General features: G+C 38.2%; 1 protein-coding gene and 1 pseudogene across 90 annotated transcripts in view; both read right to left on the reverse strand.

Annotated features, from left to right (window-relative positions):
* Positions 1–27,405, reverse strand: part of ASPH (aspartate beta-hydroxylase) — a 214,037-nt gene that overhangs the window by 105,595 nt on the left and 81,037 nt on the right. For 63 of the 90 annotated variants that reach the window (NM_001413909.1, NM_001413895.1, NM_001413894.1 and 60 more), the window contains one exon: positions 12,828–12,869. The exons of 9 other annotated variants lie outside the window; for them this stretch is intronic. In NM_001413909.1, coding sequence (NP_001400838.1) covers positions 12,828–12,869 — 42 coding nt within the window. Of the gene's footprint in view, positions 1–310; positions 1,173–12,827; positions 12,870–17,562; positions 20,131–27,405 lie in introns of those variants that run through there. 18 more of the 90 variants (NM_001164755.2, NM_001164754.2, NM_032466.4 and 15 more) reach the window with 3 other exon arrangements.
* RN7SKP97 (RN7SK pseudogene 97) lies at positions 25,530–25,862 on the reverse strand (annotated as a pseudogene).

A 27,405-nucleotide genomic window follows, 5' to 3' on the forward strand; every position in this document is an offset into this window, starting at 1 on the left:
AAAAGGCAAAGACGCAGTATGAATCAAAGTGACAAGGCCCAGAAATTAAATGCTCACCCAAGTTCATTGGTTTTATGTTGAAGCTATAATTTGCAATTAATGCTACTTCCACCCTATGACTAGCTGAATGACATTAGTAATAACATCACTACTATGATGATATAAATGCACAAGGAAGTCAGTGATCCTTGGGGGAGAGGAGCCAAATTTCAATGAAGCATAAAAATCAAGGTTATTACCTGAAACACAACTTTATCAAACCTTGGCTTTTATATAAAGGGTATCAATTAAAGGCATCACACTGTATAAATAGATTTTATTCACTTTTATTTCAAGTTTAAAGTGTGCTTCACACAACTTGAATCAAGTTGATATTTTAATTGTGGTAGCTGGCCCACCCCAAAGGTTTCAGATAAATAATATATACATATAATCATAGATGTAGGTGCTAATTAAATCCATTACTTTAATTTCATTAAATTATCATGAAGCAGGAATGGGACAAAGAGGAGAAGGTATCATCAACGTACTGATGAATCAAAGTAGCAAAAGCGTAAAAGTCATTGGATATTAGAAAAAAATGAATTATGATAATTTTCCCAAAAAGGGTTTTTAAGACAAGACTCTAATGTAATCTTCTGTATAGAGAGCATAGCCCATGACACCCAAGTTAAGTACTGCTCTTGGAGTACTGCTGGGCTTGCTGTGAGCAGAAACACCTGTGATTTTTTTTCCATATCAACTTATCATCCTTGTCATTAGACATACTTCAGTATCTGGGTTCACAGGGCTCTTGCATGGATGTAATCCTCACCCACTACTTGAGGACCAGCTCAAATGTCATCGCTCCATGAAGACTCCAGTTGCTTTCCATCTCCTGCCAGCAGTGTGTCATTTCCTCCTTGGTGTTCCCACAGCATTTTGTTCATAGTCTCTACCTCTTTACATTGTAGTTACTTGCTTTGCTTTCAGAGCGCTCCACAGAGCATAGCACACAAAAGGAGCCTATATATTTGGCAAACTAATGCATCATCCTTCTTAGCTAGAAGCTGTTATCTTCTTTATTCAGTTCCCCCTTCCATTCTTTAAGAAGGGTCAACACATGAAAGGATGGCTGAAGTCCCAGGACATGGTGCAAGCCGCCTGGCTTTCACCAGACGCAAATGAGTCCTCTGTAAATGAAAGTGTGTCGGAATATATATAATTCTTTCTCCTACTCCGTTCATCCATACACGCTGACTTTTAAAAATGAACTCAAAGGCAAAAATCAGTGTTCTCTTATTCTACCATGACCAACTCAACAAATGTATTTATAATTTGAAATGAGTTTAGAATTCGCAACATAAAGTGCTATATATTCACCTTAAGTGGTTAACATATCTAGTAGTAAATAATTTAGGAGGGGAACCATGAAAGAAGTACTGTTATGCCCTCAGTAATGTTTTCTTATTACTTTAATAATAAGAGTTAAAGGAAAAAAAAAAACAACATTCTTTCTGGCATGAGAGACCCATGAATCGGTCTATGGCAATGACCCAGGAAATGCTGAGTACCTTCTGAGTACAAAGCACAGCTAAGTCCCTTTGCAGAAAGTGAACAAACGAAGTGGAATGCATCTGCCATTTATTATTAGGGTTATGTTTTCCCTCAAACATCGTCATCCTATACAGCAATATTTGTTCAGTAAATGACATGTCCCCACATACATGATGAGGATTTAATTAGTTGCCTCAAATAGTTAAGCAGCAAAAATCTCAAAGAGGATAGTGTCTACTCTCAGCTGCTGAAATCAGGGTGGAGAATGAGGACAGCAGGAGCAGGAAGGAGGATGGGGGACTTGAGACAGTGGTCAAGTGGGTCTCTCCAGTCCTAGGCCAGAGGCAGTTGCTGTCTTTCCCAGGCAACATATTTGCAGCACTGGGAAAGGCTCACCTTTCTTCTAGCACTTGCTGGCATCAATGCAGTAGTAACTGACGGCATCAGAAAAAGCTAGACCTTTGAAAATATCATTGATAAAAATCTTGTTCTTTCATATCTGAAGTTTGAGCATGTATAGAGGGCAACTGAGAATTTGTTAAAAGTAGTCTTTTAGTCCTGATTAAAATTTGCACGGTTTGCTAAAGGAATGGAGCTGAGTGAGGTGAGAGTCTGCCGATGAGATAGAACATGGGTCATGAGATGAAAAGGGTCTCCGCCAAGATTCAGGCAGTAACAGCTGCCTCAACTACCAAGCTCAGTATTCTGTCCACGCCATGAGAAGGAAGCACTGCAAGGTTTCCTCAGCTCCTCAGTACAGCTAGGTTTGCTTACCATTTGTGGCTCATATGGTTATCTTTAAAATAGCTGTTTAATAAACTTAAAATTTTTTTTCATACTACAGGTTCAGCTTTTCTCAAACGATCCTTTTGTTGGCTTTATATTTTATTAAAAAACCCCTTCAAATCGGATTCAAATATTGTCAAAAAATGATTTCTGAATCAGGTGATACCAATAAAAATTTTTAGTTAAGATGGGCCTGATACACAGACCAGACTGACTAGGTCAGCAGCGTATCTTAACTAACACTTCTCAACCATGACTACACATGAGAATTATTGCACCTAGAGTGATGAAATCAGAATAGTTGAGGGTGGGACCCAGGGCACTGTCTGAACTCTCCCCCATGTGATTCTACCGCACTTTCTTCTTCCTCTTCATCCACTGGGATCCATCCTGCAGTCCTTTGCTCTCACTGTGCCTGGCCAGCAGTGACACAGAGCTGGGTTAGACGAGCAGGCAGGTAGGGGTGGGAAATGCTACAGTATACAGTGGTGCCTAAGGAGAACCTAGTTTTGTTTGGGTGCATCACTGGTTTCAATAGCAGTTAATTATCCGTACATTAGCTTCAGGTGCTCTAGATGGAGGGCGAGGAGGAAAGGGGAAGTTAGATAAAAGCATTATGGCAGGTGATACACCACGAGTGCGGCTGCTCTCCTGGCACTGAGCTCATGCCCTGCTACCTTCATCCTGGACCAGCTCCTAACGACGTGGCAGGGCTAGCGACGGGGCTTTCTGTGCTATTCCAGTACTTTGAGGATCCAATGCTACCCCTCCACGTGGAAATCCTGCTTTCTGTTAGCAAACATCCTCTGCTGGCAGCTTTACTTGTGGTCTGTTCCAGAATCCCTATGAGGCTAGGTTTCTCCGTATTTCTGAGACAGATTTGCCTGCTGCCTCCCGCGTGGTCTCCAGACACTGCCTGTGAGATGCCTAATCTTCATTCCATGCTCACCCACATCTCTGTCACTGCTGACCGGGCATGGTAGCAGCAAAGGACTGTGGGGTGGATCCCAATGGATGAAGAGGAAGAAGAAAGAACATTGCAGCAAAGAGGAAAGGCATGACTGACATTCATAGTGTTAAGGAAAGGCGGTAGACTGGCTTCCCAGGCAGGATGTAATAAAATCACTCAAATTAAAACAGAATTTGATTTATTTTCACCATTATTAATATTTTCCTATTGTCAATATATATTTGATTTTTAAGTGAAAAATATAAAAATATCGCAGGAACTACTGCTCCAAATGCCACTGGACCTACCATTATATTAGAAGAATGAAAAGTGCTATGGGGAAGAGGTCTGCAGGGCTCAGACTAAGGTAATTTTCAGTAAAGCATTTTTCAAACTAATGTACTCACCAATTTGAAGTCTTGTTTAAATAAATGAATATATTCAACTACTCACAGCACTGTCTTTTTATGGCACATTTTTTGAAAGCTTAATTTTAAGTTAATTTAAGCATATGTGGTTAAAGTTAATCTTTAATTTGCCTCAGTATAGAAATAGACAATGTGTTCATAAACAATGAAGTGCATTGCCTGATTTGAAGGAGTGTCACATCTTCCATCATTAAAAAAATTACAATCTTAACAGTCATTTTAAAACATACCAATACCTGATTTTTTTTTCCTTAAGAAAAGTATTTTACTTTCCTGCTCACATTGTCACAATCATTATACAAATTAGCTTTGTAAAATGTGGAGTGCTCCATGGGCAGCATTAGAATGGGATTTTAATGATAATGAAGAATTTGCTATTGTTGTCCTGTGGTGTGTTTGACTGAAGATGCACTCTGGTGAAAACAGGTGTCCTAAATTATCACATGTACTACACTATGGTTAGAAATCATGAAATGAAAAATAAAAACAAAGAGAATGTGTATTTTAACACAGCTAAAAACCTCTACTATACTTGCTAAGACTGATGATATATGCTGAGCTTATTTCAATCACTAAAATTGCCATAATTAAACTTCTCTCTAAATCAGACTTGTATGAGAGTCAGAAATCTTGTATAATTAACTTATCTGTGGAAGTAATCAGACAATAACTGCTGGTGTATTTTAGGAACCACTAAAACTACTGTAGCTGTTGAATGTAATGACTACAATAAATCTTTAAGAGCAGTTATCTCATAATCTCTTTTCACAGCTGCAAGGGTGGACGGGAGACTGTTTTTTCAAAGCTTTTCCTTGAGTTGGTTTATTATGCTATTGCTACATTGCTCTTCAACAACATGGAAAAATTACTAGGCATAGTGGTTAGCTGGAACTGAACCACCAGCCTGTGCTGCAACATCTAGGCAGGCTGTTGTCAATGAGGAATACCTAGTGTTTCAGGACTGCTAAAGACAAGGCTAAAGCATCTCCAGTGGGCAGCAAAAAGACAAAGACAGATCTAACTAGGCTAACCATGCAGTAATTAAGTTCAAGGCGGTGATGGCTTGATCAAGCCCATGTGCATCAATGGAATGGACCCTCAGAGACTGAATGATTGCAACTTCATGGTGTCTTTGCAGCCAGGCACTACAGTTCTCATCTCAATAAGATGAATGAATAAATTTTTAAAGGAAAGGACCACACTTCATACTTCCCAAGCTCACAAGCCAAAGCATCCCTGGCTGACTTAGTTGCCACCTTCATGGGTAGCCCCAGGGAGCCTGGTGAAAAAGCTAGCAGAAATTTGAGGGCGATGGATTAGCTATAATGACTTCAAAAACAAATCATCCCCAACTTCAGCACCTTGCAACAGCCATAAACATTTATTGTATTTCCCAAGTTTTTTGCTATATGGACACAGCTTCTTGTATACTCTCATAATGCAGGAGCTCGTTTCCTCCAGAGTGAGCGATTAAAAGGGATTATGGTAAAAACTGCAACATTTTTTATGAGTTAGCCTTGGAAGTCACACTCTGTCATTTCTGCAATATTCTTTCGGCCACACAGGTCAGCTTTATTCAATAGACAGAGAACTACACAGAGGCATGAATGCCAGGAGGCAAGAATCACTGGAGGCTGCCTTCGAGGCTGACTACTATAAAAATCTACCTCCGGAAAGAGCAGCTTCTGATGAAAGTACAAGTCGTTATGTTTTGCTTGAGTGCATTTCCCAATAGAGGAGATAAAAGTTCTACTGGCTTGAGGTGTAAGAGGGCAGAACTTGGGGTTGGCCAGGCAACTGAAATTTAGATAGTGAATCCCAGAAGCAAGGGGAAATTCCAGAAGCAAGTCTCAAAATCTGAGTATGAATTCTACTCAAATCTTTGGCAAACAAGTAAACTCTGAAGGCACAAGACACCGCCACCCTTTCTGACCAGACTTTAAACACAGCAATTAAAAGCCAAAAATCCTGAGCAGAGATATTAGCTGCTTTACACTGTTGGAGAGTCAGATTTTTCAATTTGAGTCCAGCCAAGTTAACTGTCTACCACACACCAACAGTCCTCAGAAAGACCAAAACAAATTCCAAAGTTGATATAACAAATTACATACACAATCCAGTTTTCAACCAAAAACTACTAGATATGCAAAAAAAATAGGAATCACCTGACCCAGTCTCAGGAAAAAAAAAAAAAGGAGCCAACTGCAGCTGCCTGCCATTGTGCCCAAATATTGGGTTTATTAGAAAAATACTTCAAATTGTTGATCATAAATAAGTACAAAGAATTAAAGAAAAACATAGTATTAATGAGTAAACAGACATGGAATCTTAATAGTGAAATGGAAACTACAAAAAAGAAGCAGTTCGAGATCTAGAGTTGGAAAGAACAGTAGCTAAAATGAAAACTTTACTAGATGAGCTCAACACAGATTTGAAATGGCAGAAGAAAGAATCACTGGACTTGAAGATATAATAATATAAAGCATGCAATCCAATGGGAAAAAATGATTAAGAAATGAACAAAGTTTTTTTTTTTTTTTTTGAGCCAAAGTCTTGCTCTGTCACCCAGGCTTGAGGGCAGTGGTGTGATTTCAGCTCATGGCAACCTCTGCCTTTGGAGCTCAAGTGATCCTCCCACCTCAGCCTCCCAAGTAGCTGGGATTACAGGCACACACCACCACCTGGCTAATTTTTGTATTTTTAGTAGAGAAGGGGTTTCACCATGTTGGCCAGGCTGGTCTTGAACTCGTGACCTCAGGTAATCCACCCACCTCGGCCTCCCAAATTGCTGGAATAACAGGCATGAGCCATCATGCCCAGACTAAAAATAAACAAAGTTTCATAGACCTGTGGGACATTTTCAAGCAATCCAATATACATTTAATTATAGGCACAGAAGTAGGGGAGTGAGAAAGAAGATTTAAAAAATGAAGAAATGGTAGCTGAAAAATGCTTAACTCATAAGATTGATGGGTAAGGCTTAAACAAGAACCCATCTGAAAATAACTTGAAATGTAGCAAGTATATTTGTAGACACTTAAAGTTAATTCATAGTTTGACTTTTCTGTTTATAATTCTTCCTGCCCACCATTCAGGCTATATGCATCTTATAATATCACTATCAGATGAAGGGGCAAGAATGAAAGGGAAGGGGGTTAGTCACATTTTTTTCATACTACAACTATTTATTCAGCACCCACTATCTATGGTTAAGCACCACTAGAATAGTGTGATGGTTAATTATATTTGTCTACTTGGCTAAGCCATGGTACCCAGATATTTGGTTGAACATGTCTGGATGTTGCTGAGAAGGTATTTTTGGTGAGATTAACATTTAAATCAGTAGACTTTGAGTAAAGCAGATTACTCTCCATAATATGAGTAGTCCTGATCCAATCAGATGAAGGCCTTAAGAAAAAGTCTTATCTCCTTCCAAGGAAAAGTAATTCTGCCTCCAGACTCAAGCTGCAACATTAACTCTGCTCTGCGGATTTTGGACTGGCCAGCCTCTACAATCACGTAAGCCAATTCCTTAAAATAAATCTCTATCTATTTCTATATCTATACACATACACCATCCTGTTGGTTTTGTTTCTCTGGAGAACTCTGTAAACTCTGATTAATATAAGGGGATAAGGGTTGGTCATGGTTCCTACTCTTAATAAGCTTTTTGTCTAGAAATTAAAAGGAAAATTCAAAATATGTGCTAATAAAAAATCTGTAAGCACAAGGCATCTTGGGAACAAAAAGAGAAACACACTTTCTGGTCTGGGGTAGGAGATGGGAGTGCAGTCAGAGAAGGCTTCCTGAAAGACAGAACATCTAAGCTCAGTTTTAAGAAATGGGAGTGATAAAAGGGAAGTGGAGCGATTAGGAAGAGCATTTTGAACACAGGGAGGCCATAAGCAGGGGCTATATCCTGAGATGCGTCATGTGCTGCACTAAGAAGTTTATTTTTTTATCATCAAAGCAATAGAGAACTTTGTTCAAATATGTTATATACAGTTATAAGAATCACAAGGAAAACTTCACTGAAGATTTTTTAAATAAGAAAACTGAATGACACTTGATTATTAGCTACGTCTGTTCTATTTTCTTTATGATCACAGAAAACTAAGAACTATCCATATGAAGTACTAGTTGCACCAAGCTGATTTACTGGCTGTAATACAGCCATCTCCACCTTTCTTTAAGTTGCTTTGCAGATGTGATTTCTGTTAGTGTAAATGTGATTTGTTTTCTAGCGCCATCTGGTGTTTTGTTAGGGCCCTGATTATGACTTTAAAAAAAAATACAAATAGTACCCAGGAAATCTTTAAGTGTTTTAAAGACATGTAAATACTGTTTAAACATATTCTTAATTGTAATGAATAATTTAATAAGATATTAAGTATAAGTCTAAATAAAAAATTTTAGGAAAAGTCCACAATACAAATACAGTTTTATCTAACACCCACCCACCCACGTGCACACATAGATACACACAAGAAAAAACACATTTCCTTTGCTCTTCAAATTTCTTTAAAGGCTCACAAATCCCAACTGATAACTGACCTTTGATAATATACTAAATCAAGAACATATTGCACATTTTTGTGTTCAGTGAATTTGTCAAAGTACAGCTTTTAAAGGTTAGAGTGAATTCTTTTCCCTTGAGTCAGGATCTTGCTCTGTTGCCCAGACTGGAGTGCAGTGGCATGATCATAGTTCACTGCAGCATCGATCCTCCTACCTCAGACTCCCGAGTAGCTGGGACTACAGGCGCATGCTACCATGCCTGGCTACGTGTTGGGTTTTTGTTGTTGTTGTTGTTGTTGTTGTTTGTTGAGACAGCATCTCACTATGTGGCCCAGGCTGGCCTCAAACTCTTGGCCTCAAGTGATCCTCCCCTTGGCCTTCCAAAGTGCTGAGATTATAGGCATTAGCCACTGTGCCTGGCCATAGATCCATATTTGACCTCTCTCACTCCATTATTCCACCCATTATCAAACCCTACTAACTTTATATCCAAATATATGTAGAATCTAACCAGCACTCACCACTTCTACTCTACATCGTAATCCTGGTCATCATCATGTCTTGCCTGGACCACTGCAATAGTCTCCTAATTGGTTTCCCTGCTTCCAGTCTTGCACCCCTATGGCCAGAATGAGCCTTTGAAAATATAATGCAATCATATCCATCTTCTGCCCAGAATCTCCCAATGGCCATCTCACTGGAGGTAATACACAAGTTCTTACTTTTGTCTTCGAAAGCCTATGTGATTTGAACCCTTGACCACTCTGGTCTCATGCACTCCTGCACTCTCCCCTCATACCTTCTTTACCAGCAATCGCCTCCTTGTTAGGCCTCAAACATGCTAAGCACACATGCCCTGAGGACCATGAGAATGCTCCCCAAGTCTCGGAACTCTTCTCCCAGACGCCGGTGCAACTCCTGCCCTTGCCTCTTCAAATCTCTGCTTAAATGTCACCATCCAAGAGGCCTATTACACAGCAACACCTCCTGCTCATTCTGTTTTCCTTTCCTGTCTTATATTCCTTTTCACACTTCACACTGCCTCTTATATTTTAATTTTTTAAAACTACATATCCAGCCCCACTCTCTCCCCTATACACACTAAAAAGCAAGTACAATGAGAGCTGCAACTGTTTTATTGACTGTTTTGGGCCCAGTGCCTAAAACAGAGCCTGGACATCATAAGTACTCACTATGTACTCAATAAATGGATGAACACGAATGACTGTTTGAATTTGACATTTAACAAGCCATTTTTGTATTGGATTATTTTGTAGTTCACACATTTTGTGACCATGGGCTATGGAATATGTGGGAAAAGATGACATCCAGTGGGGAGAAACTGATATCGCAATTTTATCTAAAACATAAAAATAATCTGATTTGACTCAAGTAACAGATGTCTGCAAATGAGGGCCTATTTTGCCTTAAAAAAATTTCAGTTTCTGTTATTATGAAACTAAAGTCTGATGAGTGAAGGCCATTCCATTTTTTTACTACATATTCTGGATATGTAATGTTTACATAATGTTTCCCTTTCCCTTTTCCTTACCAGATAACAGTATCATATGAATCGATTTGAATAAAAAATACATGGAATTTCCACAGCTCACAATTTGCTCCAATAGATTTTTAATAAATCTGTGATGACATTGATTCATTATTTCTTTTAATTCTGTCTATTCCTGCATTTCCCCCTTAATAAAATACTTTAGTTACAAACATATTTTGGTTGGTACTGATCTAAAGTGCTAATTTTAAATGGGGGGAGAGTGACAAACCAGTCAACAGAAGCCGTTGCAATGATTTTCTTTGCAGGTTCCAGAGGTTCCAGCCTCTACACTTCCCTGGCAAACCCCCTTTAGGATCAGCATCCCTGGAGGTCAGACCTGTGCACCGAGGATACCCGACAGTGCAGGGGAAGGTACGGGCTGCTAAGACTAGAATGGGAGGTCTGGAGCATGAGAGGCAGAGATATGAGGAGCTCACAATTGCAACTGCCCTGTGAGCAGCAGATTTGGGGCAGGTTTGCAAGTGTTTCTGTTTATCTGCAACAAGCCATGCCCACCATTCGGACTCCCTGTCCCTCTCTTTGTAAGAATGCATTATAGTGAACCTCCCAGAAGCAAACCAGTCAATGTGTAAATGAGAAAGGGCTCTGTTTGGTACACAGATGTGCATGGGCTGGGTACGGTGTCCACAGCATGAAGAAAAGTCCAGACTCCCACTGTGGTCTAGTCTTTGACTTTCTCTAACTGTATCTTACACACTCTAGGCTTGTTCAGGTGCTCCAGCTTCTTGGGCCCTTCTCTCTTGTCTCAGGACTTTTGTACAAACTGTTCCTCTGCTCAGAGTGCTTAGGTTTCCCTAACCTCCTGGGACACCTTCTTCCCTAATTCACCACCCCTTCTGCCTACGGCATGCTCTCCTGCTTTGTTTCCTCAGAACTCTTACCACAATTTCAGTCTGTGTGTGTACTGCTGGTCTCCCTACTGGGATGTGAGTTCCCTGAAACAGGAACCTGGTCTGTCTTGCTCTCACCTGCAACCACTTGTCTAGAACAATTCCTGGCATGTAGTTGGCACACTAATTTTAAGGGGATGAAGTGTGTTTTGAGGGGGAAAGATCAGGAGTCGGTTTTAGACTTGTTAAGTTTGAAGTGATTATTACACATCCAACACATTGAAGTTATCAGGCAGACAACATGTAGACAGCTGGACACACCAGTCTAGAGTGCAGGCAAAAGACCCAGGCTGTGAGTAAATTTGGCAATCTGTGGCATACAGAGGCATTTAAAGCCATGAGATTAGATGAGATCATTAAGAGAGTGCGTGTATATGGGGAAATGCTCCGAGGACTAAGTCTGGGGCACTCCGGTGATTAATGGTCAAGGAGATGAGAAACATCCATCCAAAGAGCCTGAGAAAAGCAAACAGTAGAGAGCAGGAGAAAGACCAAGAGAATGTATCCAGCAAGCCATGTGAAGGGAGTGTTTGAAGGACAGGAAGTGATCAACTCTATCAAAAGCTGCTGATTTGCCCCTTCTTGCCTTGTGTTTTCTCATTAGCAGGTATCGCTATCTTATTTATAGTTATGTCCTAAATATATCGGAAGATCCAGGAAGTAAGGCAGCGGAGAGCTTGTGAGAGTATGATGATCGAGCTAATCTCACCGATCTATAAAACAGAGTCAGCCAACGGTTTCTGATATTAAGGAGAAAACTGCAGCATTATACAAATTATTTAGAAATGCATAACTAAGTACTAGAAAGAAACAGCTAAGGCCAGGCACGGTGGTTCATGCCTGTAACCTCAGCACTTTGGGAGGCCGAGGTGGGAGGATTACAACAAGGCCAGGAGTTTGAGACCAGCCTGGCCAACATGGTGAAACCCTGTCTCTACTTAAAAAATACAAAAATTAGTTGGCGTGGTGGCATGTGTCTGTAATCCCAGCTACTCGGGAGGCTGAGGCAGGAGAATTGCTTGAACCAGGGAGGAGGAGGTTGCAGTGAGCCGAGATCATGCCACTGCACTCCAGCCTGGGTGACATAGTGAGACGCCATCTCAAAAAAAAAAAAAAAAAAGAAAGAAAGAAAGAAAGAAACAGCTAAAAGAAAGTTAGGAGTGAGACTTGGGGATATGAAGTAGTAGGGAAGAGGACTGCTGCTATTCATTATAAACCTCAACTTTTTAAACTATATCCTTGTACTACTTTGACAAAAATTAAAAACAACTAGTTAGAAAAGTTTTCATGAATTAAAGGCCTACTTCTCAACTTGTGGGCTGTGAAATTACAGCCAGAGGCCAGCAATTCCACATGCTCACCAAGTATCATTTGCACACTAAGTAAGATCTTATGCACGTTATGTACAAGATACATATGTAGATACTGCTTTCATCACTACAAATTAAATTAAAAGCATTCCTGAAATTGTAATAATATTCAATTATTAAAGATCATATCATTCAACTGATACTAAAAATAGCCACTATTCTATGATCATCCATATAATTTTTTAACTCTTTGTAATAAACTTTGTAATAAACTTTTGGCAGGCAGAAATAATTCTTTCTGCATAGCTGTAACTTTGTTTGTATATCTTTCCAACAATTCAGAGTTCCTTGAAAAAGATATCATGTTCTAGGAATCTTTGGATTCCTATACCTAGTACAGTTGTTGACATATCAACAATAAATGATATTTAATATATCCTAAGTGCTTTCTATGTTAGCTATTGCTTTAAGCACTTTACGTATATTTTCATTTTATTACTATCATGGAAACACAGCCTTCAGAAGTTGGTACTCTTATTATTCCTACGTTACAGAAGAGAAAACTGAGGCACAAAAGTTAAGTATTTTTCCCAAGGACGCAAGAGTGCAAATGTCAAAACTAGAATTAGAAGCTGGGCAACCTCTTTCTGTGCTTTGGCTCTTAATGTTTATGTAAAATATTAATAAGTGTTCTTTGATAAATCATTGAAATAACAAACCCAGGAGCAAATTCTTTTAATTAGTGACATAAAATCATGTTATTCTTGGATGGAACATAAAATCATGTTATTCTTTTCCCCATGTATATTTTAAAGGCTGTTTATTTGACAATCTCACCTTTTGCTTTTTGTTCTGGATCATCTGTTTTTCTATTTGTTTCTGAAAATTAAAGACAAAACATAGTAAGTACTATGCAAGTCACCATTCAGTATCTCAAAATATAGGACAATATTTAAATGAATTCAATAAGTATAATCAAAGAAAAATATATCTGAGCATACAATTCAATTTTCCTAAATCCTGAATTCATTACACATGAAGTTCATTAGAAAAGATCAAGATTTGGGCATATTTCAATTACTTATACTAAAAGTCACCAAGCACTGACTAGGCACCAGGCTAAGTACTCCTTGTCTATAAGATAAGAGAGTTGGAGTGGGTGATGTACATCAACTCCAAGTGTCTCTAAGGTACAAAGACATGTGGATGGGGAGAAGCCATCATTAAAGCTTGTTCAATATTGTTATTGTCTCTTAAAACCAGAAAACTACTTGAACAATTGACATCATGTGCTTTAAAGGAATGCAGCATGTCACACTGCTTGGAATATTAGTCTGCTACTCTAAGGACTTCACATATACACAGATGATCCATTGGGGGAGCTTGTGCTGAAGCCCAGATGAGAAGCCAGAGATGAACCCAAGACCCCACCTGTGTCAGATGCACTAAGTAAATCACAGTCAGTGTCTCTCCCACAAATAGAATTACCTAGGACAGTGACACCCACCAACAGCCTAGACTAGCCAGAGAACATCCACCCCTCACATGGAAAACAACAGCATATGAGCTGACCATGTGTTTTTAACCTCATTTCTGCACCTGTAACTCCACATCAGGACTACTGTGTAAGGTAAATTAGGATCTAGTTAATTTTCACGGCAATCACTTGATTACAGCCCTAGTAGGAACTTATCTGTTCTTTGTGTATTTCTAGGAATACGGTCGTATGCACATAGGTTGGAGAGGGAACAAGGCAGAGTCTGGGAGATTGATAAAAAACCAGACTCTGTCCTCTCCCACAGAAGCTGCAAGAGGATGTCGGTGAGATCAGGGATGCGGTCAAGTGAACATTGACACAGATCACTCAATTTGTTGGTCTGGAGTTTCCCACATTCATTCATATAAAACATTTCAATTTGGGGAGATGAAAAGTAAATCTGAGGCTGGTTTTAATGCAGGGAAGGGATTTTTATAAGTCAAGTGTTCTTGCTCCTTTGAGACTCTACATAAGAGGAAGAAAGGAAAACTAACTTTGAAATCTAGCGTGCCAGGCTAAGTGCTAAGCACATCATTTATGAATTCTCTTGTCTTCTCACACCCTGTGGAGAAGGTCTTACCTCCCTCTTTGTGCATAGGAGAAAATAGATGGCTGAGAAATTAGAGTCCCCAAAGCTATCAAGGCCAGCAGTTTACATAATTCCAAAGCATACTTTTTTTCCACTGAACCACTGTGTACCTTTCTTCAAAGAGAAGTGCCAGTCTTGACTTTTGCAAAGAGTTGATTGATTTTATAGGGTTTACAGCACATACCTCCTGCGCAGTGCTGCAAGAATAATGCAGGACTTTTTTTTTTTTTTAAGGACATGTAGGTCTTGGTAGAATGTTCTAGAATTTCCGATCTCTTTAACTATAGCCTCCTTATTATAAAGTTAGGTAGCTGAACTAGACTATTCAATACCATTCATTCAGCAAATATTAACTGAGCACCTACTAATGTCTGGCACATTTGTAGTCATCGGAGATACAGCAATGAAGAAAAGCATAAAAAATTCCAGTCCTGAAGGAGCTCTTCCTAGTGGGATCAGCAGTACCTGCAGGAACACTGCAACCCTCCACATCCCCCAGTCATTGCATAAGGCTAATGTGATTAGAAAAATCAAGCGTAAAATGCAAGTTTCTAACTGGACTAGATAGAACAGGTGGGTGCTGGTCATGAAGGGGAGTTTAGGGCTCTCCACAGATCTTCCCACTCTTGGGAGGGAAATAAGGAAGGAGGAGTGGTTTGAACTGGTCACATTCCATATAGAAGTGGAAGGTGCTGATCCCGATGTGGGAGGGCCCTGGCCGGGTCTCCTCATGTCCTTTAGACTCACGTCCTCCCAGGAACGTGGAGGGTGAGTGTGGTTGGACATATGCCCAGAAACAAGGGCCACCATCTTTCTTCAACTTCCCATGCTGTATCTAAAAGGGGGTTGGCAGTCTGACCTAAAGCCTGGACCAGATCATTCCAGGCCCCAGGCCAAAAGCTCTCTTATTCTCATTCTTGTCCTCTTCTGTCCTTCACCTCACATCAAGAAGCTGAGTTCTGAGACTCATTTCGGATATGGAGAAAATACACAGAGATAATAGTAATACTTTGCATTAGTTTTATATTGTTATACATAAATTACTGCAACTTGAGCAAAAAAAAAAAAAGAAAAGAAAAGAAAAGAAAAGAAAATACACAGAGAATACGTTTTAGGCTCTACAAGTTTTATTGCTTAAATTTAGCTTAGGTAAAGGAGCTTTCTGTGAGATTCAGCTTACCCCACTAGCACTCTGCAAAGATAATAATGAAGTGATACTTTGCTTTATTCTCTGTACCTATGCTTCTCTGGGAGACCTCATATGAACCTCACTGTGCCAAAGAGGAAAATGACTTGAGCACGTATTATATACAGGCATTGTTCTAAGCACTTAACACAGACTATCCCATTTAAACTTCTCATCATTCATAGGAGGTAGTTATAATTTTACAAATAAGGCAACTGAGGCATAGAGAGGCTAAAGAATCTTGTGTAGGATTACAAAACAAACAAAACCAATTTCAGAGACTATATTCCATAAAATACTACTTTAATCACACTCTATATCCCAGTAATGGGGAATTCATTAACTAAAGGGAGCTATATGCTCAGCCCATCCCTGAAAATTACAAAAGTACAAGCTCACATGTAACTCATATTTAGTCTTTAAATATTCGTATTCAGAAAAAAAAGATGTTACACTACTCTTTACCTGTCTTAACGTTTTTTCTCCTTTAAATATTTTGTCAGAACAATAAACACCTTACTAAAAAGAATGGGATATTGATCTTTAAATATTGTCATGCAACCACTAAAGCAAATCGCTTTGGTGGATTCAGATATACTGTACTCAGCCAGGCACAGTGGCTCATGCCTGTAATCCCAGCAGTTTGGGAGGCCGAGGCGGGCAGATCACAAGGTCAAGAGATCGAGACCATCCTGGCCAACATGGTGAAACCCTGTCTCTACTAAAAATACAAAAATTAGCTGGGCGTGGTGGCACGTGCCTGTAGTCCCAGCTACTCGGTAGGCTGAGGCAGGAGAATCGCTTGAATCCGGGAGGCAGAGCTTATAGTGAGCCGAGATTGCACCACTGCACTCCAGTCTGGTGACAGGGCGAGACTCTGAGACTCCGTCTCAAAAATAAACAAACAAAAAACAGATATACTGTACTCGTGTTCCAGCCACTGCGCTAATCTGCCAGCTGAGCAGTTCTTGCTGGACTCAAGGTACATTCAAAGTGAATTTCCACCCAGGCCTGTTCATCCCTCTGAGTGCATTACCACACTGGCATCTGTTCTTTCCCTGCACCAGGACATGAGACTGCTCTCTCCCTAAGCACCCAGACTGACCAGTCCTCACGTCACAGCTTTCCAGTCTCCTTCTCTACTAGCACTTCCTTAGCTCATGCTGTATCACCATCACCTATTACTAGTTAGTTGCCTAACCATCTTCCTGCCTGCTCTTTGGCCTCCCTCCAATGGCTTCCACCTTGCACCAGCTGCCGGAGAGTTGCTCTGGATACTGGTGTGTCACCTCGGGCCAGCAGGCACCCCACCTCTCTGACCTTGGCTTTGCTCACTTGCAGGCAGAAGTAATACTTATCTGCTGAGAAAACTCAGCTCCCTGACATGTGCACACAGTACTCCGCAGAGTGGGTGCATTCAATAAAAGTGGGTCTGCTTACCATTAGTGTTTATTTTTGTTTCTTCTGGACATGCTGGGGCTAAAAACAACCTGTTCTAGAACCCCAGGGGCTTCTTCCTTATTTAGTTCTCCTTTTCTGTCCAGAGAATGAAGACTGGAAATGGAAAAGAGAACTTTCCATATCCATTTCTGCCCTTCCATCCACTCACGATGAAATTAATATCCTCCCATTAAAAAGTGATATATAAGGTGGGGCAGTAGTTCTATTTTCAGTCTTTTGAGGAACCTCCTAGTGGTTGTACTAATTTACACTCCCACTAACAGTGCATGAGGGTTCCTCTTTCTCCACATGCTCACCAGCATTCATTACTGCTGTCTTTTGATAAAAGTCATTTTAACTCAGGTGAGATATCTCAAGGTAGTTTTGATTTGCATTTCTGATGATCAAGGATGTTGAGCACCTTTTCGTATACCTGTTTTGCCATTTTTATGTCTTCTTTTGAGAATTCAGATCTCTTGCCCATTTTAAAAATCAGGTTATTAGATTTTTCCCTATGAAGTTGTCTGAGCTCCTTATATATTCTCATTATTAATCCCTTGACAGATGGGTAGTTTGCAAATATTTTGATGTATTCTGTGGGTTATCACTTTACTTTGTTGTTTCCTTTGCTGTACAGAAGCTTTGTAACTTAATGTGATCCCATTTTTCCATTTTTGCTTTGGTTGCCTGTGCTTTTGGGGTATTACTCAAGAAATCATTGCCTAGACCAAAGTCCTGGACAATTTCCCCATTGTTTTCTCTTAGCAATCCCACTGCTAGGTATATATCCAAAAGAAAAGAAATTAGTATATTGAAGAAATTTACGCACTCTCATGTTTATTGCACTATTTACAATAGCTAAGCTTTGGAATCAACTTAAGGGTCTGTCAACAGACGAATGAAGAAAATGTGGTACATATATAATGGAGTACTACTCAGCCATAAAAAAGAATAAGATCCTGCCATTTGAAACAACATGGATGGAACTGGAGGTCATTATGTTAGGTGAAATAAGCCAGGCACAGAAAGATAAACATCACATGTTCTCACTAATTTGTGGGTGCTAAAAATTAAAACAATTGAACTCACAGAGGTAGAGGGTAGAAGGATGGTTACCAGAGGTTGGGAAGGGTAGTGAGGGGAGAGGGGAGCAGGAGGTGAAGATGGTTAATGGGTACAAAAATATAGTTATATACAATGAATAAGATCTAGTATTTGATAGCAAAACAGAGTTACTATAGCCAACAATAATTTATTGTACATTTTCTATATCTGTATCGAAATATCTCATATAGTCAAATTTATACATCTATTATATACTCACAAAAATTAAAAATTTGGGGAAAAAAGGTGGAGCAGGCTGTCCAGGGAATAATCAAAACTTCTAGGTGCAGGACAAAATCTACAAAGGATGGCTGCAGGGGCTATTTAATTTTAATCTTGCTTCCTGGCAATGTAGCATGATAGTAAATGCAAAATAAGCATTATCTGTTAGAAATACGTTAACTGGCTGAAGGTATTCCTTTGTGATTTTAGTTATCAAAAATGCTATAATCTTCTAAAATACTAGTAAGGATAAAATGAACTGATTTTATTATGTAACAAATTAAAAATACCTTATACTTCAAAAATAATGACAATATAGAGAATTCTTCTGTATTTTATTGCACTCAACATTTAATAGAAGACATTTACATTATTTTTAGAAAATCCACCGATGTTGCACAATGGCACATATTTGTAAAGACAAGGCTCATTAATTCAGATATTTGGAATTCAAAAATATTTAAAGTTAACCACAGCATAATGAATCCTCAACGTCCAGAGTTCTACAAAAATCCAGCAAAACTTACTTTTACTCATTCATCAGTTCTATGTCACTCCTTAGTTTCCCTAAAAAAATATGGCTTTATAAAAAGTAGCTTCTATAATTCACAAAATGAAGAGTTTTATTATAATTTGAGTATCATCTCTGTATCACCGACAGCACAGCTTTAGAAAATTATTGCTTTTCTTATTATCTTATTATTTCAGGTTTCATTACACATCGAGTACCCATGCAGGACTCACTACATTGTATAATAACTATGATCTATAGTGATAAAAATATAGAAGTATCTTTGATTTTAATCCTAAAAGCAGGGGGAAAAAGTCACCTTATCTTAATGTTAACAAAATCAAGAGCTACCCCTAATATATCGATCAAACCACTTCTTATGGCTTTGCTTATAGTTGCTCATGGTCCTTTCAAAATGATGTGGTAGCTACCTTCTTTTCTGACAAAGGATTATTTTCAACAGAGCAATTATTTCTGAGCCCAAAATAAACCACATTAAATAAGAAGAAAATCTTCAGTGTAGAAAGAAAAAGGCTCATTGCCGTGAAATAGCAGCAGGCATCGGGCTCTGTGAGCTTTTCACACATCCTCAATCAACCCAGCTCAAGGCGTTACTGAGTTCATCTAGTAAGAGCACTGAGCGGTCTCTAGTGCTGGAGGGGAATTACTCAATTAGCCAAAGGCAGAATAATCTTTAAGTTATGCACCAGTAATTTATACAGGTTTTCTAAAATTTAAACAAATGCTGAAGAGACTATAGCTATTATATGATTAATCTGAGGTGCCAACAAAGCATTTTTGCATGATAATAGTAGGGCCATTCTTTTTCCTTGTGTCTTAACAAGGAATTTCAGCTTTCCCCTCTCATTTAAAAAAATAAATAAATGATAATTTAAAACTTTCACTGAAATATTAAATTTTTCTAATTAATCAGCTAAAAGCTACAAAAATTTCAAAAGTGTTAATCTGAACACTTAAAGCTAATGTAGAAATTTTTGATAAGAATATCAGTGCAGGTATATACAACTCAAATCTTCACAGCTAATGATGATCTCTGTTAGCGTTTTTAAGAGTGCTAACACAAAGTACTCTTAATAGCTTTTAAATCATGTTTAACACAGTGTACACAAGTCAGTCCAACAGTTAGTGTTAATTACTAATAATATATGAAAACCCTGCCAACACAATTGCTGCTACATCACCAATATAATTATTAACCACTGTCGGAAAAACACACATAAATTCAGGTAAGACTAAAAGCTGTCTCACAAAAAGAAAAAAGAAATCCAATGGATCCACTAATGCTATCAAAAGGGACATGCAGGAATGTAACATGACATTTTTAGAAATGTGTGTTTCTAAAAAGAAAAAAAAATACACTAAAATGCCAGTGGACTATAATTCATTCAAAACATCTTTAGTGTTCCTTCCCAAAGATCTTGATCTGCTCAGTAATTGCTTCACAAGATCTATCACAGCCATCTTTTGGAGCGTATGGTTAGGCTGGTCCTCCTGTGGTGGTAGGGGCAGTCTTTTTGAAGCTTTAAGTATCTGCAAAAATAAGGGGAAATCTAAATTAAAGGACCAACCAGACACAGACTGTGAAACTGCTTCATTTTCATTCTACTTTTTAAAAAACCCACCAACAAAGTAATTTTTTTTTTTTGGTGTTTGTTTTTAAGGACAACTTGGTAACAGAATAATCAACTACCGAAAGAAGCCCCTGGGGATGGCTTGCAAAGCTGCTGATGAAAATCTCAGGTTCTTTCGAGCACTTGAGAATTAAAACTGAACTGAATAATCTCAATCTTTTAAGAAACACAGCATTAAATTTCTTTCTTCAATATTTTCACTCTATTAAAAAGAAACAGAAATCTAGTATGGTATTTGAAAAATAAATACAAGAAGCAGTTTCAAGGATCAACTGGACACTATAAGCTGCATTTAAAATATATTGCTTTAAAAATTAAAATAAATTTTAAATTAAAATAAATTTTAAAAAATTAAAAATTAAAATATATTGCTTTGAAAATTAAAATAACATAAATGGTTGACAATAAAAGTATATAAGTATTTTAAAAGAAGTAAAATTCATTCCTATCCAACTTTTTACAATTTTTTTTTTCATTCTTAACTTTAGTATCTGATTTGTTTTACTATCACAGAATTGGATTTGTGTTACAATTAAACTAGAAAAGGAGGTGGTGCACAGAAAGGCCCTGCAAAATCTTGATATAATTTTTAAAGCTGGATCCCAATATTTCCTTTCTTCCTTCCTACTTTCCTAAGAATTTCTATCTATCTATCTACACATGTGCAACCAAAACTTTTTATGTAAGTGGAATTGTTTGGGAACAACTAGACATTCTATATATACCTTTACATACCCAACATAAATGAATGCTTCTATTTCCCCAAAAAGACATTACAAAAATATTCATAGCAGCTTTCTTCATAGTCAACAATTGAGGGAAAAAAACTCATTGTGTCCATTAACAGTGATTAAAAACTGTAGGAAATAGTTATGAATAAGAGCAAATGACTACACTTAACAAGGTGGATGAAACCACAGACAAGATGTAGAACAGAAACAAGTTGCAAAAACAAATGTGTGTGTTTATGGATCTTAAATTCAAGAGCAGACAAAACTAATCTACGATGATCCAGTTCACAAGAGTGGTTACCTCTGGTTGGGGTATGACTCAGAGGTAGGAAGAGGGAGACATTTCTGGGGTGTTAAAAGCTTTACGTCGTTTTATCTTGATCTGAGTAACGGGTACGAGTATATATGCATGGAAAAATTCAACATTTGAGCATTTCCACATGTATAAATTATACCCCAATAGAAAAAGTTTATTTAAATGAGTTTTAGATTCTCTTGGCATTCAACAATTTTCTGGACTTTGATTTGAGAGGAAGATACATTTCAGAAGTACCCTGGGAAAATGGAAAGTTGTTCAAAGTATAACAATGAGTATTTATAAAAAGGCAAATAAACTAAAAGTTCTACTACAATTTTGAACAATTCCAATAAATGTCTGAAGACCCCATTCAGAAGTGGTTATGGTGCAAATCCCACATCTCCAAAACCAGGACCGTCATCTCTTCTGCTACTCTCCATTTCTTCCTGCCTTCTCTATCTCCATTAACATTCTGCCATTCATTCACAAGGACTCAAGCCAGAAATGTAGGAACGTGGACTCCTCTCCCTCCCCCATCAAATTATTTCCAGCTCCAGTTTCCATGAAATCAGGCACCTTTCCATTCATTCTACTGCAGCCAAGCTCCCACCATTTTTGGCTTAGCCTACGGTAGCTGCTTCTTACTAGTCTCTACCTCCTTGCTGGACTAACTTCTCAAATTGAGATTAGATCATATGACTCCTCTGCTTGGATTTTTTCAGTGACTTCTTGTCATTTTTAGGCAAAGATCCAAACTTTTATTTTTTGAGACAGGGTCTCAATCTGTCACACAGGCTAGAGTGCAGTGGTGCGATCATAGCCTACTGCAGCTTTGACCTCCTGGACTCAAGGAATTCTTCCACCTCAGCCTTCTGAGTAGCTAGGACTACAGGCACGTGACACCAAGCCCGGCTTTTTTTTTTTTTTTTTTTTTTTTTTTAAGAGATGGGGTCTCACTATGTTGCCCAGGCTGGTCTCAAACTCCTGAGCTCAAGCAATCCTCCCACCTTGGCACCCCAAAGTGCTGACACTACATGCGTGAACCACTGTGCCCAGCAGATCAACACTTTTAAACATAGTATATAACATCCTCTGAGAAGAGACACTTGCCTACATTTCCCCTGTCCTCTTTCACCCGTCTGGCATGCTGTCATGGCCTTTGTGCTTTGTAAGCTCTAGCTTCCTCTGCTCTCCTCCTGCCAGCTCCTGGAGCTTTTATCAACACCTGAAAACAGCTAAAACTAGCACAAGGACATCTGGGAGGCTAACCTCATTCTCTGTCCCACCCCTCTGAAGCTGGGTGAGTTATCTCTCCTTCTGTGTGTTGCTGTGCACAGCTCTGAGAAATTAATTGTACTTATTTTACTCCACCATGTACCCACAGGACTGTGAACCAAGCAAGCACAACATTGTCAATCATGTATCTTCACTGGCCAGCACAGAGCCTATACCACAGCAGCTGCTCAATATATATTTTTTGAATAGATGATCAATAACAACAATATATATATAAAGCACTTATGGAATATTAGCTACTAAGAATGTAAAGTCAATTTCCACCCTTGCCCCCAGACCTCTGGTGTTGCTAGCCTAAATCTGGTTATAGGCCTTATTGATCAATGTTAAAAAATGCTGGGTAATGGGGAGGCCTGTGTGAAAGTTCTGGATGGATGCAATGGAGTGAAACCACTACCAATGCTGGAATACTCAGCAGTGGGATAAGCTGCAAGTGGTATCTCCATTTTCAAAGACAGGAGCAGCAGAATTACCCAGAAACCATGATGCTCACATACCTGCATTCTGAAGAACATGGTTACACAAAACATAAACTAACTTTTAAAATTCTTTTCTGGCAGGGTATAACAGAAAAATAGTTAATAGACTCAGTCATATGACCTAAAGTATTGTTTGAGAGGAAATTTTACTCCAATGAGCTTTCACAAGTAATTCCTTCATAAGTCGTTCCATTTGTGTTGTGTATATTTATGCTGTCAGATTGCTACAAATATGCTGTATGATTTCAAGGAAAACTATGAGTTTAAGGAGAAAGGTGAAAACCTGCTAATGGATGAGAAATTCCAAAATCAATCTTAAAAATCTAATATCCAAAGTGATTGGCCTATAATATCAGAAAAATCAAATCTTAAGCTTAAGCTTCCACATGCTTGCCAAGAATCCACGTGCACAGCACTTACAAATTTATAAATATGCAAGAAAGAAGGCAGAATGCAAACTACTGGACAACTTACTTTTCTACTATACATCATAACTCAACCTTTGACATTCCTGAGGCCTATGTGATGAACTAATGCAGATTAAGAGAAAGATGCTGAAGAATATATAACACATCTGATTTTACCACACCAAAACTGCTCTCAAATCTCTCAGCTGTCACGTCTTCATTTATTTAAAATCCTTTGAAAAACGGCAGCTGACAGTGTGGACTCTGGAGCCAGAATGCAAGGATCAATCCGATTTCTACCACTTGTCAGCTCTGTGACCTGGGGAAGGTTACTTGGCCTTGCTGTGCCTCAGTGTTCTCATCTGTAAAATGGAGGTAATGGCATATCTACCTCTTGGGGTCTTAGAACTATTAAAGGTCAATCCACAGAACGTGCTTAGCAGAGCGCCTACATAATGCTTAATAAACATGAAATTCACTGTTCCCTACTTTAGATGGAGGCAATGGTGATAATGCCACTTGGGATTAGCACATTGATAGTTACATTATTATGAACTTTAATAAGCTATATTAAGACTGTATAACTTAGTATTAGGATAATCAGAGAAGGCAAATCAATCGTCAATTAGGTTCCAAGGGAAAAGAAAAAGTGAACTAATATTCAGCACTTTGCAGAAGTCCTCAATTTGAGTCTTCCACTGAATAAAAGAATTTTAAAGATTGAAAAATGGCAAGGAGGTAGGCCCTATAATTAGTGTTCCTACAATCAGATGCAAAATTAGACTGTGCAAAAATACCACAAATACAGATTTATGAAGATTGCACAAGTGAATAATAAAAAAATTGTAACATGTGGTAGGACTAAGAGTAAGACTTAAGACTTATAGAAAATAAGAAAACCAAGTGCAATGGTTAAAAATACGGCCATGTGTCATGTAGCAATGTTTTGGATAGATCAAATATATGATGGTGGTCCCATTTGATAATGAAAATTCCTATTGTCTAGATGCATCTTAGCTTTCATAACGTCCCAGCACAACACATTACTCATGTGTGTGGTGATGCTGGTGTAAACAAATCTACTGCACTGCCAGCTGTATTAAAGCAAACCACATACAATTATGCACAATACATAATATATGACAATGATAATAAAGGACTGTTAATGGTTTTACTCTCCTATACTTTTACGGTTCTTTTAGACTATATTCTTACTTGTTAAAAAAAAGTTTACTGTAAAACAGCCTCAGGCAGGTCCTTCAGGAGGTATCCAGAAGTCATTGTTATCATAGGAGATGACAACTCTATGCCTGTTATTACACATGAAGACCTTTCAATGGGACAAGATGTGGCGGTGGAAGACAGTGATATTGATGATCCTGCAGGCCTAAGCTAATATGTCTGTCTGTGTCTTAGTTTTTTACAAAAAAGTTTAAAAAGTTAAAAAAATTGAAAATAAAAATGCTTATAAAATAAGGATATAAGAACATTTTTGTATGGCTATATGATATGTTTGTGTTTTAAACTAATTTTTATTACAAAATCATCAAAAAGTTTTTAAAAATTAGGTTTACAAATTTAAAAAAATTACAGTAAACCAAGGTTAATTATTAAAGAAAAATTTTAATAAATTTACTGTAGCCCAAGTGTACAGTGTTTATAAAATCTACAGTAGGGTACAGTAATGTCCTAGGCTTTCACATTCACTCACCACTCACTTGCTGATTCACTCAGAGCAAATTCCAGTGCTGTAAGCTCTACTCATGAAGTGCCCTATACAGGTATATCTTTTTATTTAATTTTCTATACCATATTTTTACCATACTTTGTCTACGTTTAGGTATGTTTTCATACACAAATATATACCATTGCATTATAACTGCCTATGGTATTCAGTACAGTAACATGCTGTACAGGTTTGTAGTCTATAAGCAATATGCTGTACCATATAGCCTAGATGTGTAGTAGGCTACTCTATGATGTTCATACGTGGACAAAGTCACCTAACGACACACTCTCAGTCTGTAGCCTTGTCATTAAGTGACACATGACTGTATTGCTGACTCTCAGCCTTACATCCTCTTCTGGCAGGGTCAAACTACAACAATGCAGTGGATCATTCAAATTTTTATGGTACCAAGTTACAGGTTACAACTTCTCCATGAGGTCTTTCAGAATGTAGCTTCTCTTGATCTTGTTTGGAGGTTCCAGCAGGGGTGCTACTCATATACCCTTGACTGAAGACTGGTCCTCCTGTATCGGGGACGGTCATGCTCGTCAACTGAGCATGCAGCTTTGGGAGGGATGCACATGGAGTGGAGAGGGATGAAGGGGACACCTGCCTGGCCAGCCAGATCAGTTGAATCAACCCTGATGATCAATGGGGTGACAGATGTCACAGCCAGATGGCCCTCACATCCATCACAGAGGTAGATCTTGATCTACCTCTAAGATCAGGCTAATTAATTACTAAACAATAGTCATAGCCAAAACTTACTGGGAGCTTATTATAGGTCGGGAACTATGCATATTAATCAGATCTTCATTTGTATGTGCTTTGGTTCTTAAAAATCTAAAAAAGCACCTTATTCCATCACCTCAGAAACTTGGTGTTTCATATTTACATTCCAAATAAACTATTGGGTTCAGTTATAAAATGTTAAAAGTATAGAAATTTTTGGTCTGAAAAATATTATCTTTCATATCTTCACAAAAATTAGATCAGTATTTTAAAATATGAACTATAACTAGAAATATATTAATTTGTACAAACATTATTTTTAGGAATATAAAATAATTTTCTGTTAAGTCATGGAATAGTCATCAAAATGCTAATTCTGTAACTGGTCCTGCCTCTTTGATACAAACAGGGTACTCTGTGAAGCAGTATTCAAAAATGAAAAGGAAACCAGCAGAAGGACATAAATATCAGCTGCCCTTGCCCTGTCCAAGTATTTTAAACACAAATACACACTGCCTAGTAGTCATCATGTAAAAGGTCAATTTCTCCATGGACTGCTTTTCTCATTCATATTATAATACCAACAATTCCATTCTCTTAATCAAATATTTGTTTCTGCAGATAATTATTATTAATGTACATGGCAGGACAACTATCAAAACCTAAGGCATCCCACATATAACTAAATATATTCTTTGATTATTTTATCCTTTTTTATCATTAAAGAAAGAAAATTGAAATTTAGTATTTAATAAATTTTGGCAGGCACAATTAGTTCTACCAAAATCAGTAATAGGAATGCACATCACTGCTACAAAATTCATGTTAAAATGTAGAAAATATAAGTAAAGGTTGAACAAATAAATATGACACAAAAATAAAATGCAGAAATGAGAAGAAATACACTTGGGAAAGAGGTAGGATTTTCCAAATCCTGTTTGATAGAACATTCTTTCCCACTATGAGAGTACGAGGTTTATAAACTCACTTCTGGTTGCAGGTATAGTTTATGCCATCTCTAAAATGCATTTGAAAGCATAGGCTTTGGTGGAAATGCTGTTACCATTCTTTATATTAACTGGTGACAAGAGGGCTCAGGTAGAGGAAAGTAGGAAAAAACAGGGAAAAGTATGTAATGCAGTGAACTAAAAGGAAACACCCTGGGACACTGACAAGCACTGGGCAGCCTGGACTGTCACAAAGCACTAAAGATGCTCTCAGGAGAGATGGGGAATGGAGAGGAAGAGGAGTAATGTCACAATTTATACACTATTCAACTTTCATCCCAAGGCAATTCTGATTCCATATTCTCCATCAAATAGCCTGTCAATCAAAGAGGAAAACAAAAAAACTCTAACTTCCACTACTACCACCATCTATAATGGCAAAATCATATGATCATTAATGCTCCTCAAATTCTAGCTCAGCAGATATGTACTGCACTGAATCTGATGTGCATTTTCCATTACTTTGGTTGAACTGATCAAAACAGAAAAATTCTA

Source organism: Homo sapiens, chromosome 8 (genome assembly GCF_000001405.40).
Source record: "Homo sapiens chromosome 8, GRCh38.p14 Primary Assembly".
Lineage (NCBI taxonomy): Eukaryota > Metazoa > Chordata > Mammalia > Primates > Hominidae > Homo > Homo sapiens.